General features: G+C 48.3%; 1 protein-coding gene across 7 annotated transcripts in view; it reads right to left on the bottom strand.

Moving 5' to 3' along the window:
- Positions 1 to 47: 47 nt before the first annotated feature.
- SDHA (succinate dehydrogenase complex flavoprotein subunit A) overlaps positions 48 to 27,585 on the bottom strand; it is a 50,427-nt gene continuing 22,889 nt past the window's right edge. For 2 of the 7 annotated variants that reach the window (XM_011514072.3, XM_047417467.1), the window contains 4 exons: positions 17,691 to 17,802; positions 17,326 to 17,456; positions 14,288 to 14,401; positions 4,504 to 5,485 (listed from right to left, as the gene is read on the bottom strand). In XM_011514072.3, the coding sequence (XP_011512374.1) occupies positions 5,351 to 5,485; positions 14,288 to 14,401; positions 17,326 to 17,456; positions 17,691 to 17,802 (492 nt within the window). In that variant the 3' untranslated portion in view covers positions 4,504 to 5,350. Of the gene's footprint in view, positions 4,472 to 4,503; positions 5,486 to 11,711; positions 12,461 to 14,287; positions 14,402 to 17,325; positions 17,457 to 17,690; positions 17,803 to 27,585 lie in introns of those variants that run through there. The other 5 variants (NM_004168.4, NM_001294332.2, XR_007058614.1 and 2 more) reach the window with 4 other exon arrangements.

The raw sequence follows: 27,585 nt of genomic DNA, 5'->3' as shown, positions 1-27,585 counted from the left end.
AAAATGCCTTCATTCAAGAGAGGACACACTTAATGAATGCAACCAGCTAGAATCCACCCTTTTAATATTTAAATATAATCCACCCTTATAATATTTAAATATGTGGCTTTGTTTAATCCTCCCCATGCCAAGGCACCATATCCACATTTTACTGAAGAGAAAACTAGAGTTCAGAGAAGGTAACTTGCCTAAAGCCAAGCAGGCAGTAAGAGGAGATTCAAGCCCAGATCCTTTTGTGCTTTTTCTGCATCATCTCAGGGGCAGCAAGGCTGACTCTTGAAAGGGAGGTTAATTACTATGAAATTAAGGTTTAAAGAAAAAACACCCTGGCCAGGCGCGGTGGCTCACAGCTGTAATTCCAGCACTTTGGGAGGCTGAGGCGGGTGGATCAAGACCATCCTGGCTAACATGGTGAAACCTCGTCTCTACTAAAAATACAAAAAATTAGCCAGACGTGGTGGCAGGTGCCTGTAATCCCAGCTACTTGGGAGGCTGAGGCAGGAGAATGGCGTGAACCCGGGAGGCGGAGCTTGCAGTGAGCCGAGATTGCACCAGGCACTCCAGCCTGGGCAACAGAGTGAGACTCCGTCTCAAAAAAAAAAAAAGAAAGAAAAAACACCCTGCGTGCATACTCATATGAATGTACAAATGGATGAGTCTAGAACAAGAGATACTAGCCTGTTACATACACAAACTATGCAGCTGCAGTCCCTGCTGCTTCTACAACCCTGACCTCTAAGAAACCTCTAGCTCTGAATCCTGTCAGTACCTGGGCTGTGCTGCTTGGGACAACATTGTCTTCACAAGTCCTCTCCACATTCTCAGAGGTGGGGGTATTGCCAATGATGGGGGTTGCTGCCTGAGTCCCGTCACCAGGGGACAAAGCTACAGCAGAGACCACCATCTGCCAACAAAAAGAGAGATCATCTCCCACCCCTGGTTCTGCTGACCCAATCACTGGAAGCATCAAGGCACCACTATCTCCTCATCTGCCTCAGATTCAATTTCCTCCTAGCCAGGTCTGTTCTAAGCTCTCCAGAAGTTGAGAAATTAACTGAAAGATAACACTTTCCTCCCTGCATTAAGGTTCATCACATAATGTATCCAAATACTGGGTCAGTCTTTCCTTTGGTCTCGTTTCTCTCAGCTAATTTGAAAATGCCTTTTCTGTTTTCATTAGAATTTTTCTAAATGTTTCTGGGCACTTGTGTTCCTGAGGCTTTCCATAGTGCACCCTCTTATGCATCTGATGTCTTTGGCACATATAGGCCCTCAACAAGTATTTGTTAAATGAACAGATAACCATCCTGTCCTTTGTGTGAACAAGCATATGCAAGTGTACATTGTATCTGTACATGTATCCAACAGCATCCATCTGAAGCCACTTTGTTCGCTTATTTTCTCAGGATGACTGATGGCTGCATCATGACATTTGCACACAGAATCTTTTCTTCTCCAGTCACTTTTCCTTTTTCCAGATTCCCGCCATAGAATTCCAGGGACAGAGCCAACCATGCCTGGCACCCCCTCCTGTCCTGGGACAATGATACTTTCTCCCGTGACTCCCATCTTCCTTCCAACATTCTTCTGCTAGAATTCAGTAAGGAAGACAATGACTTACCACTTTTAATTTTTTCCCCTTTTTTGCTTTTCTACCAAATACTGCTTTTAACACAGGCTTTTCACTGAGTAGTGGACAATCTATCAGCTAGGTGCTATTCAGTGTGAGGGGCATTTGCAAAGGTCTGCATCAGTGCTGGCTGATGGAACTTTCTAGTGATAGCATCATTCTGTAGCTGCACTGTCCAGTGCAGAGGCTACTTGCCACTGTGGCTACTGCTCAGGATGGTGCAGGTCTGAATATCTTAGACACAGCGGCCACCGTGTCTACTGCACGGGACTGAATATTTTAGACACAGCGGCCACCGTGTCTACTGCACGGGACGGCGAGGGTCTGAATATCTTACAGACAGCGGCCACCGTGTCTACTGCACGGGACGGCGAGGGTCTGAATATCTCAGACACAGCGGCCACGGTGTCTACTGCACGGGACGGTGCAGGTCTGACTGTCTTAGACACAGCTCACCTTTGATCCGTGTTAGGAATTATCCACATCTCCTCTCTGGGCAATATTCTACTTTCTTTTTATATTGACCCAATTATTTTACTTCTTTGGTGTGTCCTTTCTCCTCACACACATGGGTTCACTTTAAAACCTTGAAACCCACATTTATAAAACATTTTCAATATGAAACATCGTTCCATGACTCATATAGTACTCCATGGAGTACTATAAACATTTACATTTCCAGACCACCCACTGCCCAGTGGTTTTCCTGGTCTCAGTACTCATGAAAATGGTCTGAAGGTTTGTTTTGGGTTCCTAAGCAGTAGACACACACACAACACTGCCTGTCAGTTATTTCTTGGAAACTAAATCAGCCCTTCTGTTGCCATCCTATCATGCTTCAGGGGTGCCTGTGCTAGTTTTTAATTCTTTGTCCTAACACTTAAATGTTTGCTCAAACGCCCATATTAATACTTCCTCTTAGTTTACAAAAGGATTTACTTTCTTACTGGTTGGGATGAAGCTGCCTGAGGTTGCCACCTGTTACTTTTCCTTCATTTATTGGACCAAGTCATCCCATTACATGTCAGCTGTGGAGGTTTTCAAACTGTGGTCCCTGGACATGTTAGAAATGCAAATTCTCAGGCCGAACCAGGACTGAACCGGAAGATCTGGGGTAGGGTCCCTCCAGGACTGAATCGGAAGGTCTGGGGTGGGGTTCCCCCAGGACTGAATCGGAAGATCTGGGGTAGGGTCCCCCCAGGACTGAATCGGAAGATCTGGGGTAGGGTTCCCCCAGGACTGAATCGGAAGGTCTCGGGTAGGGTCCCTCCAGGTGATCCTGTTACACAGGTTAGAGAACCACAGCATTGGGGTGGCAATTTGACAACTCTTTTTTTTTTTTTGAGACAGAATCTCGCTCTTGTTGCCCAGGCTGGAGTGCAATGGCGCACTCTTGGCTCACTGCAACCTCCGCCTCCCGGGTTCAAGCAACTCTCCTGCCTCAGCCTCCTGAGTAACTGGGATTACATGCACCCACCATCATGCCTGGCTAATGTTTTGTATTTTTAGAGATGGGGTTTCACTATGTTGGCCAGGCTGGGACAATTCTTAAACTGTCATTCTTTACTCACTTATTTGCAGGAATTCTTCTGTAAAGAACTTTTCCTAATCAGCAAGGTTTCCCTGATTGCAATTTGTAGACAGAAGGTGGGATAATCGCTGATCTTCCCTCAAGTGTCCACTCCCAGTGTTAGGAGTTAGTGCCCTAGGTACCTCCAAGAGTGACCAATTACATGTGTTTGGTTGGTTGGTTTTGGCTTTGAAACCATCACTATGAATTCATGGTTTTCATGTATTAGAGACCAAGTCTAGGTGCTTCATGTGCCTACTGCTCCTGGGGCAGAGCTAGGAAATGTGTCTATGTGAAAGGAACAACAGAGTTAATGCTTATATTTCTATTTCAAATTTAGTATATGGTTTTACACCTTTTTCTCAGAAAAATCTTTTTTTATTTTTTGAGATGGAGTTTTGTTCCTGTTGCCCAGGCTAGAGTGCAGTGGCACAATCTAGGCTCACTGCAACCTCCGCCTCCTGGTTCAAGAGATTCTCCTGCCTCAGCCTCCTGAATAGCTGGGATTACAGGCACCTGCCACCATGCCCAGCTAATTTTTGAATTTTAGTAGAGATGGGGTTTCACCATGTTGGCAAGGCTGGTCTTAAACTCCTGGCCTCAGGTGATCTGTCCACCTCGGCCTCCCAAAGTGCTGGGATTACAGGTGTGAGCCACCGCACCTGGCCAGAAAAATCTTAGTTTTAGCATTAACATAATTAGTTATAGTTTTAACTCCCACCCCAGATAATTTCAAAGGCTTAATACCAATAAGACAAGTAACAAGGAGATGATTGATTGAAATTTAGGATTTCAGTGGCTCTATTTGTCTTTAAACTATGGCTCACTAAATCTGCATACTTGAAGTGCTGCGTTCTGGCGATGCTCTGATGACACACGAAGTAATAGGCTGTGTGACTGTCACCAGCCTGATGTGCAGTTGGGCTGCAGAACCCTGTGATGCTGCCTAGCCCAGCCAGCCCCAGGTCACTCCTCAGACTCAAACTTGATTCTGACACCACCAGCACCCGGGATGCTGCCTAGGGGCTTTCTCTGGTGGCAGGAGCATGTCCTGGATTAGGCCGGGGTGCCCGGAATTGACCATCCTGACCCTGTGGAGCGTGGGCTGGTGAAGGAATGCACCAGCTCCCACAATGAGCACGGGCCCAGCTGCCCACGTGGGATCCGGCTCCCAGACACCCTGTGCCCTCACCTCTTTCCTGTCTTACCTCCCGCTTCCCTTCAGCTGCTGCTCAGGGCCACCTTCCAAATTTTGGTCTCAGGGTTGGCACCTGCAGAAGACAATCCAAGGAATTTAGATTCATTCATTTCAGATACTATTCTTTCAATTTTAGGGACTATCTTAAAACTTAGTTTGGTAATATGTAAAACACTTATAATTTCAAAGTCCAGATATTACTTCAGAGTCTATTTCAGTCTCACTTCCACCATTGACCCCTGTCCTCCACAGCAACCACTTTAGTTTTTTATCTTTGTACTGTTTTAAGAAAAAGCAAATATATATTTGCATTATATGATATGTACTCTGCCCCTTATCAATAGGTCTTCCTCATCCCTCCTTCTGGTACTGAGTTCCCCACTGTACGAATTAATGTTCCTAATCCCCTACTGATGGACATTTTGATTGTTTCCAGTTTTACAAATGCCACAGTGAAGAACTTGGTTGCAAACATATTTAGGCGTGAAAAGAACTCTGTGAGTAAAGTCCTTTCATTTTTTTGCCAGAGTTTTTTTTGAGGCAGTCTAGAATTGCTGAGTCAAAGGGCAAATGCCACATACTTTTGTTAGATGCTGCCAAATCCTCTTCCATGAGGTTGCAATGTTCTGCATTCCACAGTGACGTATGAGAGTCCTTGTATCCCACAGCTTCATAAACAAAGCATGATGTCAAACCTGCACATTTACCAATCACACAGGTGAGAAATTTTATCCTAGTTTCACCTTTGTTTTTGGTTCGCATTTTTATGACCAGCTTTTTTATGGTGTAATGCACAGAAGATAATGAACACACTCTACCCACAAGCTTCTTCCTGTGCCTTTGGAATCTGCTCCTGCCAGTCTGCAGGGAACCACGGATCTGCTTTCCGTCACGTAGGAGGCATTCTCGACACCCTCTGTACACAGTATGCACTTTTAAAATTTGGCTTCTCTTACACAGCATAGTGACTTTCAGATTTATTCAAGCTGCTGCGTGCACCAATAGTCCGCTCCTTCCTAGTGCTGAGGCCCCCATCACATGAGCACAACTGTTTCCTGTGTGTGATGTGTTGTTCTCTGGCTGTGCACTGCCAAAAAAGACATCATTAAAAAAAAAATCTAAATATAATGTAAAACCTGCCTTGTCTTAGGAAAAGTTTTTCTGGCAGTGGCTCACACCTATAATCCCAATACTCTGGGAGGCTGAGGCAGGAGGACTGCTTGAGCCCAGGAGTTTGAGACCAGCCTGGGCAAGATGGTGAAACCCTGTCTCTGTAAAAAATATAAAAATTAGCCAGGCATGGTGGCTCACACCTGTAGTCTCAGCTCCTTGGGAGGCTGAGGTGGGAGGATTGCTGGAGCCCCGGAGGTGGAGGTTGCAGTGAGCCGAGATCACAGCACTGCACTCCAGCCTGGGCAGCATGGCAAGACTCTGTCTCTACCAAGAAAAAAAACAAAAAATTAATATAAGGAAAAACAAAAGGTTTTTCTTACCAAAAATACACTTTAAGGAACAAATTTATCATATTAAGTTGGTGCAAAAGTAATCGTGGCTTTTACCATTGAAAGTAATGGCAAAAACTGCAATTACTTTTGCACCAACCTAATATTACTTTCTAATGACAAACTTGGAAATAATTGTCATTGTTCTCTAAAAAGAACAGCCTAAAAATAAAGCAGCAGCCCATTTACTTCTATGCCAGTTCTTTTAGTATTTGGTTATTTAAACTGGTGGTCCCTAACCTTGTTGGCACCAGGGACTGGTTTCATGGAAGACACTTTTTCCACGGACAAGTGTGGGGATGGTGGGGATGGTTTGGAGATGAAACGGTTCCATCTCAGATCATCAGCATTAGATTTTCATAAGCGGCGCATAACCTAGATCCTTCGCATGTGCAGTTCACAACAGGGTTCCACTCCTATGAGAATCTAATGCCACCACTGATCTGGCAGGAGGCGGAGCTCGCCCAGTAATGATATGACAGGGGGCGGATCTCACACAGTAATGCTTGGACAGGAGGCGGAGCTCACACGGTAATGCTCTGCCGGGAGGCGGAGCTCACACGGTAATGCTCTGACGGGAGGCGGAGCTCACACGGTAATGCTCTGTCGGGAGGCGGAGCTCACACGGTAATGCTGTGACGGGAGGCGGAGCTCACACGGTAATGCTCTGTCGGGAGGCGGAGCTCACACGGTAATGCTCTGGCGGGAGGCGGAGCTCACACGGTAATGCTCTGACGGGAGGCGGAGCTCACACGGTAATGCTCTGCCGGGAGGCGGAGCTCACACGGTAATGCTGTGACGGGAGGCGGAGCTCACACGGTAATGCTGTGACGGGAGGCGGAGCTCACACGGTAATGCTGTGACGGGAGGCGGAGCTCACACGGTAATGCTGTGACGGGAGGCGGAGCTCACACGGTAATGCTGTGACGGGAGGCGGAGCTCACACGGTAATGCTGTGACGGGAGGCGGAGCTCACACGGTAATGCTGTGACGGGAGGCGGAGCTCACACGGTAATGCTCTGACGGGAGGCGGAGCTCACACGGTAATGCTCTGACGGGAGGGCGGAGCTCACACGGTAATGCTCTGTCGGGGGGCGGAGCTCACACGGTAATGCTCTGGCGGGGGGCGGAGCTCACACGGTAATGCTCTGCCGGGAGGCGGAGCTCACACGGTAATGCTCTGCCGGGAGGCGGAGCTCACACGGTAATGCTGTGACGGGAGGCGGAGCTCACACGGTAATGCTCTGTGGGGAGGCGGAGCTCACACGGTAATGCTGTGACGGGAGGCGGAGCTCACACGGTAATGCTCTGGCGGGAGGCGGAGCTCACACGGTAATGCTCTGACGGGAGGCGGAGCTCACACGGTAATGCTGTGACGGGAGGCGGAGCTCACACGGTAATGCTCTGGCGGGAGGCGGAGCTCACACGGTAATGCTCTGCCGGGAGGCGGAGCTCACACGGTAATGCTCTGACGGGAGGCGGAGCTCACACGGTAATGCTCTGCCGGGAGGCGGAGCTCACACGGTAATGCTCTGCCGGGAGGCGGAGCTCACACGGTAATGCTCTGCCGGGAGGCGGAGCTCACACGGTAATGCTCTGCGGGGAGGCGGAGCTCACACGGTAATGCTGTGACGGGAGGCGGAGCTCACACGGTAATGCTGTGACGGGAGGCGGAGCTCACACGGTAATGCTCTGACGGGAGGCGGAGCTCACACGGTAATGCTGTGACGGGAGGCGGAGCTCACACGGTAATGCTGTGACGGGAGGCGGAGCTCACACGGTAATGCTGTGACGGGAGGCGGAGCTCACACGGTAATGCTCGGACGGGAGGCGGAGCTCACACGGTAATGCTCTGGCGGGAGGCGGAGCTCACACGGTAATGCTCTGACGGGAGGCGGAGCTCACACGGTAATGCTCGGACGGGAGGCGGAGCTCACACGGTAATGCTGTGGCGGGGGGCGGAGCTCACACGGTAATGCTCTGGCGGGAGGCGGAGCTCACACGGTAATGCTCGGACGGGAGGCGGAGCTCACACGGTAATGCTCTGGCGGGAGGCGGAGCTCACACGGTAATGCTCTGGCAGGAGGCGGAGCTCACACGGTAATGCTCTGTCGGGAGGCGGAGCTCACACGGTAATGCTGTGACGGGAGGCGGAGCTCACACGGTAATGCTCTGTCGGGAGGCGGAGCTCACACGGTAATGCTCTGGCGGGAGGCGGAGCTCACACGGTAATGCTCTGACGGGAGGCGGAGCTCACACGGTAATGCTCTGACGGGAGGCGGAGCTCACACGGTAATGCTGTGACGGGAGGCGGAGCTCACACGGTAATGCTGTGACGGGAGGCGGAGCTCACACGGTAATGCTGTGACGGGAGGCGGAGCTCACACGGTAATGCTGTGACGGGAGGCGGAGCTCACACGGTAATGCTGTGACGGGAGGCGGAGCTCACACGGTAATGCTCTGGCGGGAGGCGGAGCTCACACGGTAATGCTCTGTCGGGAGGCGGAGCTCACACGGTAATGCTCTGGCGGGAGGCGGAGCTCACACGGTAATGCTCTGACGGGAGGCGGAGCTCACACGGTAATGCTCTGGCGGGAGGCGGAGCTCACACGGTAATGCTGTGACGGGAGGCGGAGCTCACACGGTAATGCTCTGGCGGGAGGCGGAGCTCACACGGTAATGCTCTGACGGAGGCGGAGCTCACACGGTAATGCTCTGACGGGAGGCGGAGCTCACACGGTAATGCTCTGACGGGAGGCGGAGCTCACACGGTAATGCTCTGACGGGAGGCGGAGCTCACACGGTAATGCTCTGACGGGAGGCGGAGCTCACACGGTAATGCTCTGCCGGGAGGCGGAGCTCACACGGTAATGCTCTGTGGGGAGGCGGAGCTCACACGGTAATGCTCTGGCGGGAGGCGGAGCTCACACGGTAATGCTCTGGCGGGAGGCGGAGCTCACACGGTAATGCTCTGACGGGAGGCGGAGCTCACACGGTAATGCTGTGACGGGAGGCGGAGCTCACACGGTAATGCTGTGACGGGAGGCGGAGCTCACACGGTAATGCTCGGACGGGAGGCGGAGCTCACACGGTAATGCTCTGGCGGGAGGCGGAGCTCACACGGTAATGCTCGGACGGGAGGCGGAGCTCACACGGTAATGCTCGGACGGGAGGCGGAGCTCACACGGTAATGCTGTGGCGGGGGGCGGAGCTCACACGGTAATGCTCTGGCGGGAGGCGGAGCTCACACGGTAATGCTCGGACGGGAGGCGGAGCTCACACGGTAATGCTCTGGCGGGAGGCGGAGCTCACACGGTAATGCTGTGACGGGAGGCGGAGCTCACACGGTAATGCTCTGGCGGGAGGCGGAGCTCACACGGTAATGCTGTGACAGGAGGCGGAGCTCACACGGTAATGCTCTGGCAGGAGGCGGAGCTCACACGGTAATGCTCTGTCGGGAGGCGGAGCTCACACGGTAATGCTGTGACGGGAGGCGGAGCTCACACGGTAATGCTGTGGCGGGGGGCGGAGCTCACACGGTAATGCTCTGGCGGGGGGCGGAGCTCACACGGTAATGCTCTGGCGGGGGGCGGAGCTCACACGGTAATGCTCTGGCGGGAGGCGGAGCTCACACGGTAATGCTGTGACGGGAGGCGGAGCTCACACGGTAATGCTCGGACGGGAGGCGGAGCTCACACGGTAATGCTCTGACGGGAGGCGGAGCTCACACGGTAATGCTGTGACGGGAGGCGGAGCTCACACGGTAATGCTCGGACGGGAGGCGGAGCTCACACGGTAATGCTCTGACGGGAGGCGGAGCTCACACGGTAATGCTGTGGCGGGAGGCGGAGCTCACACGGTAATGCTCTGGCGGGAGGCGGAGCTCACACGGTAATGCTGTGACGGGAGGCGGAGCTCACACGGTAATGCTCGGACGGGAGGCGGAGCTCACACGGTAATGCTCGGACGGGAGGCGGAGCTCACACGGTAATGCTCTGGCGGAGGGCGGAGCTCACGGCAAGGCTCTGAGAGGAGAAGGAGCTCACAGTAATGCTCTGGCAGGGGGCGGAGCTCACACGGTAATGCTGTGACGGGAGGCGGAGCTCACACGGTAATGCTGTGGCGGGGGGCGGAGCTCACACGGTAATGCTCGGACGGGAGGCGGAGCTCACACGGTAATGCTCTGGCGGGAGGCGGAGCTCACACGGTAATGCTGTGACAGGAGGCGGAGCTCACACGGTAATGCTCTGGCGGGAGGCGGAGCTCACACGGTAATGCTCTGGCAGGAGGCGGAGCTCACACGGTAATGCTCTGGCGGGGGGCGGAGCTCACGGCAAGGCTCTGAGAGGAGAAGGAGCTCACAGTAATGCTCTGGCAGGGGGCGGAGCTCACACGGTAATGCTCTGGCAGGGGGTGGAGCTCACACGGTAATGCTCTGACAAGAGATGGAGCTCACAGTAATGCTCTGACAGGAGGCGGAGCTCAAACGGTAATGCTCTGGCAGGGGGCGGAGCTCACGGTAAGGCTCTGACAGGAGGAGGAGCTCACACACTAATGCTCTGACAGGGGGGCGGAGCTCACAGTAATGCTCTGGCAGGGGGCGGAGCTCACATAGTAATGCTCTAACATGGGGCGGAGCTCACAGTAATGCTCTGACAGGGGGCGGAGCTCACGGTAATGCTCTGGCAGGGGGTGGAGCTCACCCAGTAATGCTCTGGCAGGGGGTGGAGCTCACACAGTAATGCTCTAACGGGGGCGGAGCTCACACGGTAATGCTGTCGGGAGGCGGAGCTCACAGTAATGCTATGGCAGGAGGCGGAGCTCACACAGTAATGCTCTGGCAGGGGGTGGAGCTCACCCAGTAATGCTCTGGCAGGGGGTGGAGCTCACAAGGTAATGCTCTGGCAGGGGCGGAGCTCACCCAGTAATGCTCTGGCAGGGGGTGGAGCTCACACAGTAATGCTCTAACGGGGGCGGAGCTCACACGGTAATGCTGTCGGGAGGCGGAGCTCACAGTAATGCTATGGCAGGAGGCGGAGCTCACACAGTAATGCTCTGGCAGGGGGTGGAGCTCACCCAGTAATGCTCTGGCAGGGGGTGGAGCTCACAAGGTAATGCTCTGGCAGGGGCGGAGCTCACACAGTAATGCTCTGGCAGGGCGCGGAGCTCACACGGTAATGCTGTCGGGAGGCGGAGCTCACAGTAATGCTCTGGCAGGGGGTGGAGCTCACCCAGTAATGCTCTGGCAGGGGGTGGAGCTCACCCAGTAATGCTCTGGCAGGGGGTGGAGCTCACAAGGTAATGCTCTGGCAGGGGCGGAGCTCACACAGTAATGCTCTGGCAGGGCGCGGAGCTCACACAGTAATGCTCCAACAGGGGGCGGAGCTCACGGTAACGCTCTGACAGGAGGCGGAGCTCACAGAGTAATGCTCTGGCAGCAGGCGGAGCTCACACGGTAATGCTCTGACAGGTGGTGTTCACAGAGTAATGCTCTGGCAGGGGGCGGAGCTCACACAGTAATGCTCTGACAGGTGGCGGAGTTCACAGTAATGCTCTGGCAGGGGGTGGAGCTCACACAGTAGCTCACCGGCCCACTGCTCACCTCCTACTGTGCGGCCTGGTTCCTAACAGGCCATGGACTGGTAACAATCTGTGGCCTGGGGATTGGGGACCCCTGATTTGAATAATCAAGGACACACTCACCTAGTAAACCGTCTGCCAAGAAAAAGGAGGAAATGTTAGTTTTCTCCATTCGTTCTCAGGCACCAACATTAATTTGAACTTAGAAATAAACTACAAGGCCAGGCATGGTGGTTTGTTCACACCTATAATTCCAGCACCTTGGGAGGCCAAGGAGGGAGGATCACTTGAGACCAGCCTAGGCAACACAGTGAGACCCTGTCCCTACAATTACAAAATAAATGAGCTGGGCATGGTGGTGCACACCTGTAGCCCCAACTACTCAGAAGGCTGAGTCAGGAAGATCACCTGAGCTGCCCAGGAGTTTGAGGCTGCAGTGAGCTGTGATTGTACTACTGCACCGATCCTGTCTCAAAAAAAAAAAAGAAAAGAAAAAGAAAAAAGAAACTATACAAAATATCTGGATTTTGATGTAACACAATACAAAGATTACATTTGATTTTTAGGTCAACAAATATGACTAAAGTCACAACAGTAAAATATTTCAAATGGATTTGGAAATAAAAGAAAGTTTGTTCATTTATATTTTATTTAAGAGCTGTGCCCAGTTTTATCATCTCACAAGAATGAAGCAAGGGACAAAGGTAAGTGCCACGCTCCCTGGCCACTGGGTTCCTGGCAAGCTCCCAGCCACTAGGTGCCAATCTCCCTTCAATGTACTCCTTCTTCCCCAGAGTGCAGAAGCGTATGAAGACAGTTATGACATGGACACATGCATGAGCTATTATACATAATTACAAAAGCTGATTCTGTCATCACCACATCTTGTCTCATCAGTAGGAGCGAATGGCTGGCGGGACGGTGGCACAGTCAGCCTCGTTCAAAGTTTTGTCGATCACGGGTCTATATTCCAGAGTGACCTTGAAAAGAAGAGTCAGTGGTAAGTTAAGCACAAAAATGTACAAAAAGCCATCTCTTGTGTTCCTTTTGAAAAATTTTAACTATAAAAGTAGATTTATGGCATGTGAACTTTAAGATTCTCAGTGCTTTACAAAAATGCTCCCATCATGTAAAGTGGGAGAACCCTTGTCTATACCAAGACACTTTATGTTTAAACCATCTACTTCCAGTTTTTCTACTTCAAAGTAAATATTTATATAGGTTGAACATCCCTAATCCAAAAATCTGAAATTCTCTAAAATCTGAAACTTTCTGAGCACCAGCATGACATTCAAAAGAAATGTGCTATGGAGTCAGATCTTCCGATTAGGGATGCTCAGACAGTAAGTATAATGCAAATATTCCAAAGTCTGAACAAGCCTGAAATCCACAACGCTTCTGGTCCCAAGGATTTCAGAGAAGGAATACTCAAGCTGTGTATTAAATATGCACACACAGGAAAAGGTAGGCACATATACAAAGAAATTTAAACCATAATGGGTCGTCTCTGGTTAGTGAGCTCTTATTTCAATCTCTTTGTACTTTCTAAAATGAGTATGTATTTCTTGAAAAATCACTAAAACTGGCTGGGGGTGTTGGTTCATGCCTGTTGGGAGGCCAAGACAGGTGGATCACTTGAGCGCAGGAGTTCAAGACTAGCCTGGGCAACGTGGAGAAACCCCATCTCTACAAAACATATAAAAATTAGCCAGGCATGGTGCCATGTGCCCAGGAAGCTGAGGTGGGAGGATCACCTGAGCCTGGGGGAGGTTGAGGCTGCAGTGAGACGAGATCAAGCCAACACATATCAGCCTGGGCAACAGAGATGAGACTCTATCTCAGAAAAACAAAAAAAAACCAAAAAACCCGAACCCGGAAACATTAAAAATAGACTTGTGCTAAGCGAGTGAAGTGTGATTTCTATACACTATCAAGAAATGGCCTTCATGAGAAGTCCTGAAAATGACCTACTGCCTGAATCACAGACACACTAGATGATAGTGAGAGTCCAAAGGTAACTTCCACAGACACAGCTAAGTGATTATACGACTCTTACAAGCTATGAAAAGTTTAAGGGTAAAAGCTTTCTATCTTCATTATTTCTGAATCTTAATGCCCAGCGGAAATGCCACACAGGTGAACTGTGCTTGTGTGGAACAAGGCTGCGACCCCCCTACCACACCCTCGGCTGGCTGTTCCCAGGACGCTGCTCACCGTGTGTGGAAAAAGGCTGCGACCCCCTACCACACCCTCGGCTGGCTGTTCCCAGGACACTGCTCACCCCAACCCCACCTCCATTTCTGCCCTTCTCTGCTTGCTCAGTGCCCAGGGGATGCTAAAGGCTGCACCACATCCCCTCAGCTCCCCTGCAGACGCTTCCAGTTGGCCCAGCCCGTGGGAGGAGAGGGGAGGTGTCTCTTCTGGGCTCCCTTAACGTGGGACTGGTTTCTGGTAATGGCTGTGTGTCCCCACCCCACAGATGCTTTCTCGCTAGGTCCACAATCATCATCTCCTCCCCTACCACCAGGCCTTGGACACTTGCTCCTGCCCAGTGACGTCCATCTGGCGCACACCACGGAGCAACCCTTCCTTAAGGCTCCTCTGAACCACCTGCAGGAACTGGATTCTGTTTCCAGCCCGAAGCCCGACTGCTGTCGGAGTGCCTTTTTCAGCGGTGCCTCGAATCTGTCGGGAGTTGATTTAAATCTGGCCTGCTCTTCCCCGTTCACCATCAGCAAGGCCAGCCCGCAGGCCTGGGCGGGGCCGTGTGGGTGCTGGGCTGTGGTGAGAACGAGCTCCACACTGACCTTCCCAGTGCCAACGTCCACATAGGACAGGGTGTGCTTCCTCCAGTGCTCCTCAAAGGGCTTCTTCTGTTGCCCCTGGATGGGCTTGGAGTAATCGTACTCATCAATCCGCACCTGAGGCCAGAAACACCATCACGTTTCTTATTACTCTAACAGAGCAATACAGAAAAAACACAGCAGACATTAACATGATCTAAGAGACAGATGCCCTAGAACTCATTCCATTTCCACTTCAGCCCAGGAGGTTGGCACCATCAACATGTTCAGAACCCACGGAGGCCGCATGGCTGGCCAGGGGGTGTGCAGCCAGCAGTGAGTCCACAGTAATCCATGTCCGCATGTTCCCTTAAGCATCCTTTATGTACCTAAGAGTTTATCAAATACTTTGTCTTTTTGCTCCATGTGCTGGGAGACTACCTCAATCTTTTCTTTCAGCCTGTTTTTATTAAAAAAAAATTTTTTTTTTGAGACAGGGTCTGGCTATGTCACCTGGGCTGGAGTGCAGTGGTGTGATCACAGCTTGCCGGAGCCTTGACTTCCCAGGCTCAATCAATCCTCCTGCCTCAGCCTCCTGTGCTACCACCACACCTGGCTCATTTTTTATGTTTTTGTAGAGACACGTTTCGCCATGTTGCCCAGGCTGGTCTACAACTCTGGGGCTCAAGTCATTGGCCTGCCTCAGCCTCCCAAATGCTGGGATTACAGGTGTGAGGCACTGCACCTGGCTTCTATTCTAATTAAAACTGACTGTGACCAACTAAATTTATGCACTGGCCAGGCACAGTGGCTCATGCCTGTAACCCTAGCACTTTGGGAGGCCGAGGTGGGTGGTTCACTTGAGGTCAGGAGTTCGAGACCAGCCCGGCCAATATGGTGAAACCCCATCTCTACTGAAAATACAAAATTAGGCATGGTGGCAGTGTGTCTGTAATCCCAGCTGCTTGGGAGGCTGAGGCAGGAGAATCACTTGAACCCGGGAGGCAGAGGTTGCAGTGAGCTGAGATCACGCCACTGCACTCCAGCCTGGGGGACAGTGAGATTCCTTCTCAAAAAAATAAAAATAAAAATAATAAATTTACTATTATTCTGTATTCTGGCAAACACGGATTCATATACTTTGCAGGAAACTCTTAATACATACAAGGAGACAAGAGCAAGTTCTGAGCAGTGATCACAGCCATCAGCATATTCTAGTGGAGGGTAAATCAGTAAAATTTCATGGTGAATAAAAATGATTTTCCCATTCACCATGTTCAGCTGACTGGAAAGGCTGCCACCAGCCGCCTACACACGGTCCTGAACCAGCCTGTGCGCCTGCCTTGTGGAGCCTTTGTCCTTTTGCTGATGTGGTTTATCCTGAACTTGCATTTGCATCCCAAGCTTCCCTTTCCGTCGTTTTTTGCTATCATATGGGAAAAACTCTTACCAGGCAGAATCCAACACGTGCGCTCTGCACAAAAATCAGTTCATCTGAAGAACAAGTGACCACAGGGCAGGCTCTATAATACCTTTTCCAAACCACAGGACAGGTCTGAAATGGTGGCTTACTCCTTATTTAATAAACTGGCATTTCCTCCACAGCGCAGGTCTGAAATGGTGACTTACTCATTAATAAACTGGCATTTCATCCACAGGGCAGGTCTGAAACAGTGACTTACTTGTTAATAAACTGGCATTTTCCTCCACAGGGCAGGTCTGAAACGGTGGCTTACTCGTTAATAAACTGGCATTTCCTCCACAGGGCAGGTATGAAACGGTGACTTACTCGTTATTTAATAAACTGGCATTTCCTCCACAGGGCAGGCTTGAAACGGTGACTTACTCATTATTTAATAAACTGGCACTTCCTCCACAGGGCAGGTTTGAAACGGTGGCTTACTCGTTAATAAACTGGCATTTCCTCCACAGGACAGGCTTAAAACGGTGACTTACTCGTTACTAAACTGGCATTTCCTCCACAGGGCAGGTTTGAAACGGTGACTTACTCGTTAATAAACTGGCATTTCCTCCACAGGGCAGGTTTGAAATGGTGGCTTACTCGTTATTTAATAAACTGGCATTTCCTCCACAGGGCAGGCTTGAAACGGTGGCTTACTCGTTATTTAATAAACTGGCATTTCCTCCACAGGGCAGGCTTGAAATGGTGGCTTACTCCTTATTTAATAAACGGGCATTTCCTCCACAGGGCAGGCTTGAAACGGTGGCTTACTCGTTATTTAATAAACGGGCATTTCCTCCACAGGGCAGGCTTGAAACGGTGGCTTACTCCTTATTTAATAAACTGGCATTTCCTTCACAGGGCAGGTTTGAAACGGTGGCTTATTCGTTAATAAACTGGCATTTCCTCCACAGGACAGGTTTGAAACAGTGACTTACTCGTTAATAAACTGGCATTTCCTCCACAGGGCAGGTTTGAAACAGTGGCTTACTCGTTATTTAATAAACTGGCATTTCCACCACAGGGCAGGTCTGAAACGGTGGCTTACTCGTTATTTAATAAACTGGCATTTCCTCCACAGGGCAGGCTTGAAACGGTGGCTTACTCGTTATTTAATAAACTGGCATTTCCTCCACAGGGCAGGTTTGAAACGGTGGCTTACTCGTTATTTAATAAACTGGCATTTCCTCCACAGGGCAGGTTTGAAACGGTGGCTTACTCGTTATTTAATAAACTGGCATTTCCTCCACAGGGCAGGCTTGAAATGATGGCTTACTCGTTATTTAATAAACTGGCATTTATTTCCTGGTCTTGCCACTCTAGCTGCACTTCTAACCTTGGCCTTCTAACAGCAAAGCACATTGGCTTGGAGATGCCACTGCTGGCATCAGTGGATGCCGACCCAAAGCAAGGAAAAGGTCACAGTGATCCAGAAGATGGCGAGAACCCAGGGATCAAAGTTACCAGGGGGGAAAAAGGCATTTTTTGGATTTACTTTTGGGGCAACGAAAGAAAATGCAGAGAAAATGCAGGGGTGGGGCTGAGTCCCACCAGGTGGCAGGAAAAGGCAGGTGCAGGTGGGCGTGGTGAGAAGGCCCACCTTGTAGTCTTCCCTGGCATGCGCGCCCCGTGACTCCTTCCGTGCCTCTGCTCCGTAGATGGTCTGCAGCGCACACAGCATCAGGTTCTGCAGCTCCAGGGTCTCCACCAGGTCCGTGTTCCAGACCATTCCTGGGGACACAAAAAGTTCCATCAGGGGCAGGCGGGACCCAGTCACATGGGCCCTCCGAGCTGTCAGCCTGGGCCTGCTAGTCCATGGAGTCACTGGTTGTGGCTTTATAGCTGTGGGCCAGGACCCATCCAGACAGCAAGCACGGAACTAAGTCAGCACTGACGGGACAGACACCAGCCCACCCTGCAGAAGGAAGGGCCCAACAGTGTGCACAGAGCCCACTGTCTGCTCACCCCGGTCGAACGTCTTCAGGTGCTTTAGGTCTCCATAGAGCTTGCTGATTTTCCCACAACCTTCTTGCAACACGCTTCCCACACGGAACACGGCAGCATGATTTTGCATTGACTGTGGCACAAAATATTATTTGTAAACTTTTAATCCATAGAAGCAGCCATACCAAGAACTGCTTAACTTTTAGACCTGTTGTTTTGCATTTCACTTAAAAGTTACATAAATTAAACAGAAAAATTAGGAAATTCAGACTATGAGTTTATTACTCCAAACTTAAAAATGAAGTTTTGACTAAAGCTTCTGAATAAATAAATGTTTCTATTACATACACATCTTAGACCCACACACATCCTTTCCAGCAGGATACAGCCAGGGTCCAGGACTCCAAGCAGACTGCCTGTGAGGCACCATGTTCCATACAGCTCCACGGCCAACCAGGCAGCGCTGCCTCTCCACACCCCTGGCGGGACTCCTGACGCGGGGTCTGGTGGTGAACGTGACACAAGCCAGCAGCCCTGTGGTGATACACACTAGGAGGAGCTGAGCAGAGCCCTGGTGATGGTGGTGTTGGAGCTGCACGTCTTCAAGGAGAGGGAGGGGCGTGGGTGGCTGGGGCCCTTGGCCCATCTGGCTACTGTCTTCTGCCTATCTTGTAGAAGCTCCTTGTACACTGAGTTCCTTCATAGTTTTACTGTGATGAGAGACGTGCTATGCAGTGGACCTGAAGTTTACTGTAGGTATGCTGGGAACTAGGCGTCAGCTTTTGCTTCCTGTGGGACAGGCACCACCTCAGTGATCCCTCCTCCTCCTTGCTTCTCCCTCTAACTGTGCTTTGCTCCACTGACCCTAATTTTCTCTTCCTCTACCAATGCACCTTCATGGTTTAATTTGGACATTTCATCTGATTTTCCTTAGACTCATACATAATCGTAACACTGTAATGCACATCAACCTAATGGTTTTTCAGGAAGAACAAATGAAAAACATTGCATCTCAGAATCTAGTATTACATTCTTTCATGTCCATTAGCAGCCACATGTTTTCATATCCTTTTTTTCGTATTTCTGGTTACATTATTTCAGGGCATTTTCAATTTTTTTTGAAATGTGAATGAGATATTTACTGATGTCTGAGCAGACTACTGCTGGCACATTGTAAAGCTACTGATTTTTAGATACAAATCTCTTATCCAGACACCTTACTACATTCTTGTTTTGTTTCTGTTAGTTTTTCAGTTTATTCCCTGGGAATTGTTTGGAAATTCTATCTGTAAATAATGACAATTGTATCTATTCCTTTTCAATATTTACTGCTGAGACCAGCTCGGTTGTGGAGACCCTAACCCAGCGGTGCTGGAGGAATTAAAGACACACACACAGAAATACAGCATGTGAAGTGGGAAATCAGGGGTCTTACAGCCTTCAGAGCTGAGAGCCTTGAACAGAGATTTACCCACATATTTATTGACAGCAAGCCAGTGATAAGATTTACTAAAAGTATTCCTTACGGGAAACAAAAGGATGGGCTCTGGCTAGTTATCTGCAGCAGGAAAATGTCCTTAAGGCACAGATCGCTCATGCTATTGTTTGTGGTTTAAGAATGCCTTAAACGGTTTTCCACCCTGGGTGGGCCAGGTGTCCCTTGCCCTCATTCCAGTAAACCGACAACCTTCCAGCGTGGGCATCATGGCCATCAAGAGCATGTCAGAGTGCTGCAGAGATTTTGTTTATGGCCAGTTTTGGGGACAGTTTATGGCCACATTGGGGGGCCTGTTCCCAACGTGTCCCCTTTATTTGTTTTGCAAAGTGATAAAAGCAAAGGCAGCTTTGTTACGGTGAGCTACTTCTTGCAGAGTCAGGATCCACATCTGCAGACTATACAAATAACACAGATTAAAAGCACAATCTTCATTGAAATCACAGAGCTTCCAAGTGTTTTTATCCATTTTAATGGATTACCAGCTGCTAATCTGTCTGCAGCTCCTTCAAGCACTCCAGTTCCTGGCATTAAGGTCAGGTGTGCTGGGATGCTTCAAATATCTGTTCTTTCAATTTTGCAATATCCAAAGACAAGTTTGTACGGTGTCCTTCTAGATGCTTTTTTATTCTTTCCCAAATTTTGATCTTATTAAGAGCTATTAACAGTTTCCACAAATCCTTATGTTTAGCTCCTACAAAGGGCCATACCATTTGAGGTTGAGGTGCCACTACACCGCCATGGTTCCAGATAATAGGAACCCTTGCCGTATTTCTTATCATTTCTACCATCTGACAATTTTGTTCAGACCAGCTGAACATAGTGTGGCCGTGGCACGCAGACAGAGAGGTGCAATTCAAGCTAAACATCCCCTTAGGAGATCAATCAATAATGATTCCATAGGAATCGTTGCCAGCACCCCTGCCTGTTCTGCAATGCAATCTTCCCAAACATGTACGTTCATTTTCTCTGACTGGGTCCAATCCTGTTTACAGATAGGTTTTTGAGGGCGGTATGCCTCAATTATAGAAGCAGATTTATCATGGTAAATACTGAGATCAGAAAGCATGTGTAACTGCATCATAGAGTGATTACATCCAGGCATTCTTGCCAGCCAAGATTGATAAATATGCCCAATAAGTATAATTGTTCTCTGTGTCAGCCCTTGTTGAAGGAATACTCATGGCAATGGTGATCACTGCTATCACAGCTACCATTAAATTACTCATTGTGACTGGTTGTCCCGCTTTCCTCAGGTTTTCTTCTGCCATCTGTGACAGCTTCTTGATCTGACCTCAGGTGGGTGGCTGTGTTCGACGGGTGTTGCTCATGACAGTTGGGGTCCTCCTCAGCATCAGTCTTGACATGGCTGCAACCGAGGGGTCCTCGGGATCCTCCCAGAATCTCTTCCTCAGTGTCAGCTCATAAGGTTTCAGGTGTCTTGATGGTTCCGTCCTGGAGAAACATAAGCATAACCTCTACCCCAAGTTATTATTTTACCTATTTCCCAACTTTTTATTATCAGGTCTCTCCACCAAACCAGTTGTTCTGCTTCTGTCTTTGCAGCTGGTTTCTGTAGATGCTGTTCAGCTGCTGATAAGATCTGGCCTTTAGGCAGGCTCAAAAAATTTAAATAATGCGATTCAATTGCATATGGGGTGTCCCGTAGTCCCTGTTTTCCCCCTTTTACTTTTGCAGCTGCTGTTTCAGGGAAAGATTCATTCTTTCCACTATGGCTTGTCCTTGAGAATTATAAGGGATACCAGTAATGTGTTTAATATTCCGTATAGAGAAAAATGTAGCTAGAGCTTGGCTAGTATAGCCTGGGGCGTTATCTGTTTTAATAGAAGCTAGAATGCCAATTACCACAAAACACTGCAAAAGGTGACGTTTAACGTAGGCAGAAGACTCTCCTGATTGGCATGCAGCCCAAAGTGAAAAGGTGTCCACACATGCATGTACATAAGCTAGTCTCCCAAACGAGGGAACATGTGTGACATCCATTTCCCAAAGAGAATTAGGTTCCAATCTTCGAGGATTAACTCCTCCTGTAAAAGATGAGGAATGTACCATTTGGCAAGTTGGGCATCGCTGGATAATAGCTTTAGCTTCTTTCCGGGTACTGCTGTATCTGCGTTTGAGACCAGAGGCATTAACACGGGTTAAATTGTGAAAGTGTCTAGCATTAGATATTGCAGTAGCAACTAGGCGATCAGCCATTTGATTCCCTGCAGTCAAAGGTCCTGGAAGAGGTGTATGAGCCCTAATGTGAGTGATGTAAAAAGGGTGCATTCTACTCCTAACTGCTGTTTGCAATTGCATAAATAAAGTCATCAGTTGTTCATCTGTATGAAATCGTAACTCAGCATTTTCAATTAATTGTGTGGAATGAACCATGTATGAAGAACCAGAAATCACATTAATAAGCATATTAAAAGCAGTCAATACCTCAATTACAGCTACAAGCTCCACTTTTTGAGCTGAAGCATAGGGTGTCTAGAAAACTTTACCTTTCGAGCCAGAGTAAGAAGCTTTACCATTACTAGACCCATCTGTAAAAACATTCTCTGCATCTTCATTTGGTTTAAATTTAGTTATTTTAGGGAGAATCCAATTAGTTAATTTCAAAAATTGAAACAGTTTCATTTTAGGAAAATATCAAGAATACCCACAAAGTCAGCTAAATGGGTTTGCCAAGTAAGACTATTTAAAAAATCTTGCTGTATTTGTGCCTTCGTGAGAGGGACAATTTTTTCAGGATCATATCCATGTAATTTAACAATCCAAGTTCTCCCATTTCCTATCATAGTAGCAATTTGATCCAAATAAGGAGTTAGAGTCCATGAATTAGTATGTGGAAGAAAAAGCCATTCTACAAGATCTTGCTCTTGAACAATAACACCAGTAGCTGAATGTGGAGTTGGAAAAATTAGCAAATCTAGAGCCTTCTCTAGAGTCCATGAATTAGTATGTGGAAGAAAAAGCCATTCTACAAAATCTTGCTCTTGAACAATAACACCAGTAGGTGAATGTGGAGTTGGAAAAATTAGCAAATCTAGAGCCTTCTCTGGAACTATTCTATTTACTTGGGCTTTATGGCCTTGCTTTTCGATCAGCTGCAGCTCAAGTCTTCTCTGGATCTATTCTATTGATTTGAGCTTTACGGCCTTGCTTTTTGATCAGCCGCAGCTCGAGTCTTCTCTGGATCGATTCTATTGATTTGGGCTTTACGGCCTTGCGTTTCGATCAGCTGCAGCTCAAGTCTTCTCTGGATCGATTCTATTTACTTGGGCTTTATGGCCTTGCTTTTCGATCAGCTGCAGCTCGAGTCTTCTCTGGATCGATTCTATTTACTTGGGCTTTATGGCCTTGCTTTTCGATCAGCTGCAGCTTGAGTCTTCTCTGCATTGATTCTATTTATTTGGGCTTTATGGCCTTGCTTTTCGATCGGCTGCAGCTTGAGTCTTTTCTGGATCTGTTCCATTTATTTGGGCTTTATGGCCTTGCTTTTCGATCAGCTGCAGCTCGAGTCTTCTCTGGATCTGTTCTATTTATTTGGGCTTTATGGACTTGCTTTTCGATCAGCTGAGGCACTCCCTTAGTTTCTTTTGTTAATTGCTGAGGGCTAGTGAGACCAGGATCTCCTCTAAGGATAGAAAATAGATTACTCATGGCATAGCCGAGGGCTAGTGAGACTAGGATCTCCTCTAAGGATAGAAAATAGATTACTCATGGCATAGGTAGGAAGCCGAGGGCTAGTGAGACTAGGATCTCCTCTAAGGATAGAAAATAGATTACTCATGGCATAGGTAGGAATGCCTAGAGCAGGGTGTATCCAGTTAATGTCCCCAGTAATTTTTGAAAGTCTCATTTAATGTTTTCAATTGATCCCTACGTATGGCTACTTTCTGTAGCACAATGGTAATGTCATTTACTAAGGTTCCCAAGTAGGAGTAAAGAGTAGTAATCTGGATTTTGTTAGGAGCTATAATTAAACCAGCACCAGAAATTGAATTTTGCAAATGATCATAACATTGGAGTAATATTTCTCGAGTAGGGGCAGCACAAAGTATATCATCCATATAATGAATAATGTAACACTGTGAAAATGTTTTATGAGTAGGTTCAATTGCTTGCCCTACACAAGTCTGGCAAATCGTTGGACTGTTTAACATGCCTTGTCGCAACACTTTCCAATGAAAACGCTTAGCAGGCTGCAGGTTGTTTACTGCACGAATTGTAAATGCAAACCGTTCACAGTCTTGCTCAGCTAAGGGGATAGTAAAGAAACAGTCTTTTAAATCTATGACTATTAAAGGCCAATTTTTTGGAATCATAGCAGGAGAAGGCAATCCTGGCTGTAATGTCCCCGTAGGTTGTATAACTGAATTAATGGCTCTTAAGTCAGTTAACATTCTCCATTTACCTGATTTTTTCTTAATTAAGAAAACCAAAGAATTACAAGGGGAAAATGTTGGAGCTATGTGTCCCTTTTCTAATTGTTCATTAACTAAGTCCTCTAAAGCCTCCAGTTTCTCTTTACTCAGTGGCCATTGTTCTATCCAAATTGGCTTATATGTTAACCATTTTAAAGGTATAGGTTCTGGAAGCTTAACAATGGCCGCCATCAAAAATAATATCCTAAACCTTGGCAGGAACTTTTGTCTTTCCACTTGAAGCACTTCTTTCAAACCCTGCAAATTTTTTCCTAGTCCCATACCAGGGACATACCCCATTTCATGCATATGTTGACTTTGAGGGCTATATAATTGCTCTGGAATTAGAACTTGTGCTCCCCATCGTTGTAATAAATCTCTTCCCCATAAATTTATAGGTACAGAAGTTATCATTGAATAGTCCCAGGTTGTCCATTGGGCCCTTCACAATGGAAATATAACTACTTTGATATACTTCAGGGGCTTTACCAACTCCAACTATGTTAAATTGAGCAGGTTGAATTGGCCACACAGACGGCCAGTGCTGTAGAGAAATGATTGAAATGTCCGCTCCTGCATCTACCAAACCTTTAAATTTCTTTCCCTGAATAGTTATTTCACAGGTAGGACGTTTATCAGTAATTTGATTCACCCAATAGGCTGCTTTGCCTTGTTTATCTGTGCTTCCATATCCTTTTGTTCATTTAATTTCACTTTTCCCCATTTCCACATATGGCACAATCAGGAGCTGTGCTATGCACTCTCCTGGCTCTGCTTTCCAGGGAACAGAAGTAGATGTAACAATTTGAATTTCCTCATTGTAATCTGAATCAATGACTCCTCTATGTATTTGTACCCTTTTAAACTTAAACTAGACCTGCCTAGGAGTAATCCTATCGTCCCTGCTTGCAAGGGTCCACAGACTCCTGCTGGGACCTTTGGTGGGGGTTCCCCAAGCAGAAGACTCACAGCTACTGTGCAGCATAAATCTACTGTGGCACTACCGGCTGTGGCGGGGAACAGACATTGTACAGGGGTGAGGGAGTGGCCTGAGCCGGAAATGCCCCGGTTTGGAACGGGACCCAGGACGGGCCCCTCATGGCATTTCCCAAAATGGGGTTCCCATCTTTATCAAACTTAGAGTGACACTGATTAGCCCAAAGTTTTCCTTTTTTACATTTTGGACATATTTCAGGCTTAGCAGTTTTCTTTCTTCCCCCATCTGGCACCCTCACTCACTGATTTTTTTCTACATTCTTTTTTAGTATGACCATGCTTCCCACAGTTAAAACAACCTCCAGGAAACGGAGTATTTCCTTTACTCACTTTCAGTCCTGCCATAGCTTGTGCCAACAAAGTCGCTTTATGCAGAGTACCTCTGATACCATCACAGGCCTTGATATAATCAACTAAGTGTGCTTTCCCTCTGATAGGTCACAGAGCAGCCTGGCAATCGGGATTAGCATTGTCGAAAGCTGATAACTGCAGCACTATATCCTGAGCAGCCGAATCTGCGATCACCTTTTTAAGAGACTCCTGTAACCGAGCTATAAAATCAGCGTACGGTTCTTTTGGTCCCTGTTTTACTGCACTAAAGGAAGGGTATTGTTCTCTACCTGAAGTGATTTTTTCCCAAGCTCTAATGCACACTCCTCTAAGCTGTTCTACGGCATCATCCTGCACGACCACTTGTGCATCTAAACCAGCCCAGCTGCCGACCCCCAAAAGCTGGTCTGCAGTTATATTAATTTGAGGTTGGGCCTGGGCGCTGCAAGTAGGCTGAATGGAAGCTACAACTGCCCACCAAGTTTTAAATTGTAAGAACTGAGCAGGAGTTAGACAAGCTCAAGTAAGAGCGTCCAAGTCAGTAGGAATCATCCGACTGGAAACAACAACATTCTTTAACAGTCCTGTTACAAAAGGAGAACCTGGTCCATACTGATTGATAGCGTGTTTAAACTCCTTAAGTAATTTAAAGGGAAAAGGCTCAAATGTAGCTGTAATATTTCCCTGTTGATCTGCAGGGTGTATTCTAACAGGGAACTGCCAAGCCTCTAAATCACCCTCTCATCTAGCTTGCTGAATTCCTGCCTGAATAGAACTGAGAGGGGTCGCTCAAGGTGCTGCTCGGACAGTCACTGGAGCAACTACTTTTCGCCCACTGTCCTCTGGAAAAGAAAGATCTGGAGGGTCAGGCCACTCTTTTTCTTCAAAATAAGGAGGGGGTGCAGAAGGGTAGGGATGAACCTCTCCCTCCTTTGCCGCTTTAGCTTTAGTTGGCAAACAAACCTGCTCTGTAATTTCTTCTGTTACTTCGTTATACTCTCCTTCCCCCTTATTATTAGCATGAAAAGGTTCCAAGGTGGAACGAACCAGAGCCCACACGTGTCCCATTGTTACCCTGATGCTTCTGAGCTACCCGTCTTACTCACCACAGGGACTGCGTAAGAGTACTCAGGTGTCCTCCAGCTTAGTTCCATGTTCTCCATCGCTCCGGTGACCCTTCGACCTAGATTCGAGCCCCCATATATGGGCGCCATTTGCCGAGACCAGCTCGGTCATGGAGACCCTAACCCAGCGGCGCTAGAGGAATTAAAGACACACACACAGAAATATAGTGTGTGGAGTGGGAAATCAGGGGTCTCACAGCCTTCAGAGTTGAGAGCCTTGAACAGAGATTTACCCACATATTTATTGAGAGCAAGCCAGTCATAAGATTTACTAAAAGTATTCCTTACGGGAAACAAAGGTATGGGCTCTGGCTAGTTATCTGCAGCAGGAACATGTCCTTAAGGCACAGATCGCTCATGCTATTGTTTGTGGTTTAAGAATGCCTTAAGCGGTTTTCCACCCTGGGTGGGCCAGGTGTCCCTTGCCCTCATTCTGGTAAACCAACAGCCTTCTAGCGTGGGCGTCATGGCCATCAAGAGCATGTCACAGTGCTGCAGAGATTTTGTTTATGGTCAGTTTTGGGCCACATTTGGGGGCCTGTTCCCAAAAATTTACCTCATTTCTTTTTTTTGCTTCTTACTATGAATAGCCAGACTCAGCAGAAAAATCCCTTCCCCAACGGAACGCATTTCCACGAGCAGAGGAAACTCTGTTTGTTCAGTGCTGACTCCAGCATCTCGTGGAGCCTGGGATACAGCAGGCACCAAGACACACCATGTTTGGTGGGAATGCTTCTAGTATTCTCACTTTAAACTATCTCATGGATTTGCCATTTCTATATCCGAAGGCATGTTCCCATTCTCTAATGCAATGGTTCTTTCTTTCCCAGCTGGCCTCCAACCCTACAATAGTACTGCAGGGCATCACTCAGCCTTCTGTGCCTTAGTCACACTGTTCTTCTCACCATTCCACAAAGCCTCCCTGAAGCCCAGCTTCACTTGAAGACTGAAGGGCACAGGCCTCTGAAAATGTCAGCAGGGAACCTGTTCTCCTGTGTCTAACACCACATAGGTGTTAGACACCTATTTCAGAATAGGACTAAAGCAATGGACTTTTTAGAAAATACACAGAAATTCTTGCAAATAGTAGGCAAGAGATCTCATTCATGGACAAGAATCCTTGTTATTAGAGGAATTCAGTTTCTTAGACTGACCATGTATCAGGTTCTCCACGGCCCCATGGCTAATGGCTGCCATACTGGATGGCAAACACTCGGAACATTTCCATCATCACAGATGGTCCTACTGGACCGACTCCCAGCAGCACAGGCCACAGATCAGTTTCCACCTGCCGCCCACTCTCCCTCTCTTCCGAGTATATTTAGAGGCAGCAACAAGTCCAGCTTAAAGACATTTCCGAGCTGCTGGAAGCCAGGCATGATGACATGATCGATATCCGGGCCTGAGATGTAAGCACCAGTGTTGTGTTGAACTCCAGGAAACCTCTAAGAGAAAGCTGCCCTGCTGGGGACTGAGCTTCTCCAGCGGTCCTGCAGTTCCCTCTCCTCCACGCTGTGACTCATCCATGACAGCCA

Source organism: Homo sapiens, chromosome 5 (assembly GCF_000001405.40).
Source record: "Homo sapiens chromosome 5, GRCh38.p14 Primary Assembly".
Taxonomy (NCBI): domain Eukaryota; kingdom Metazoa; phylum Chordata; class Mammalia; order Primates; family Hominidae; genus Homo; species Homo sapiens.
This window is presented reverse-complemented; position numbering and strand designations above follow the sequence as displayed.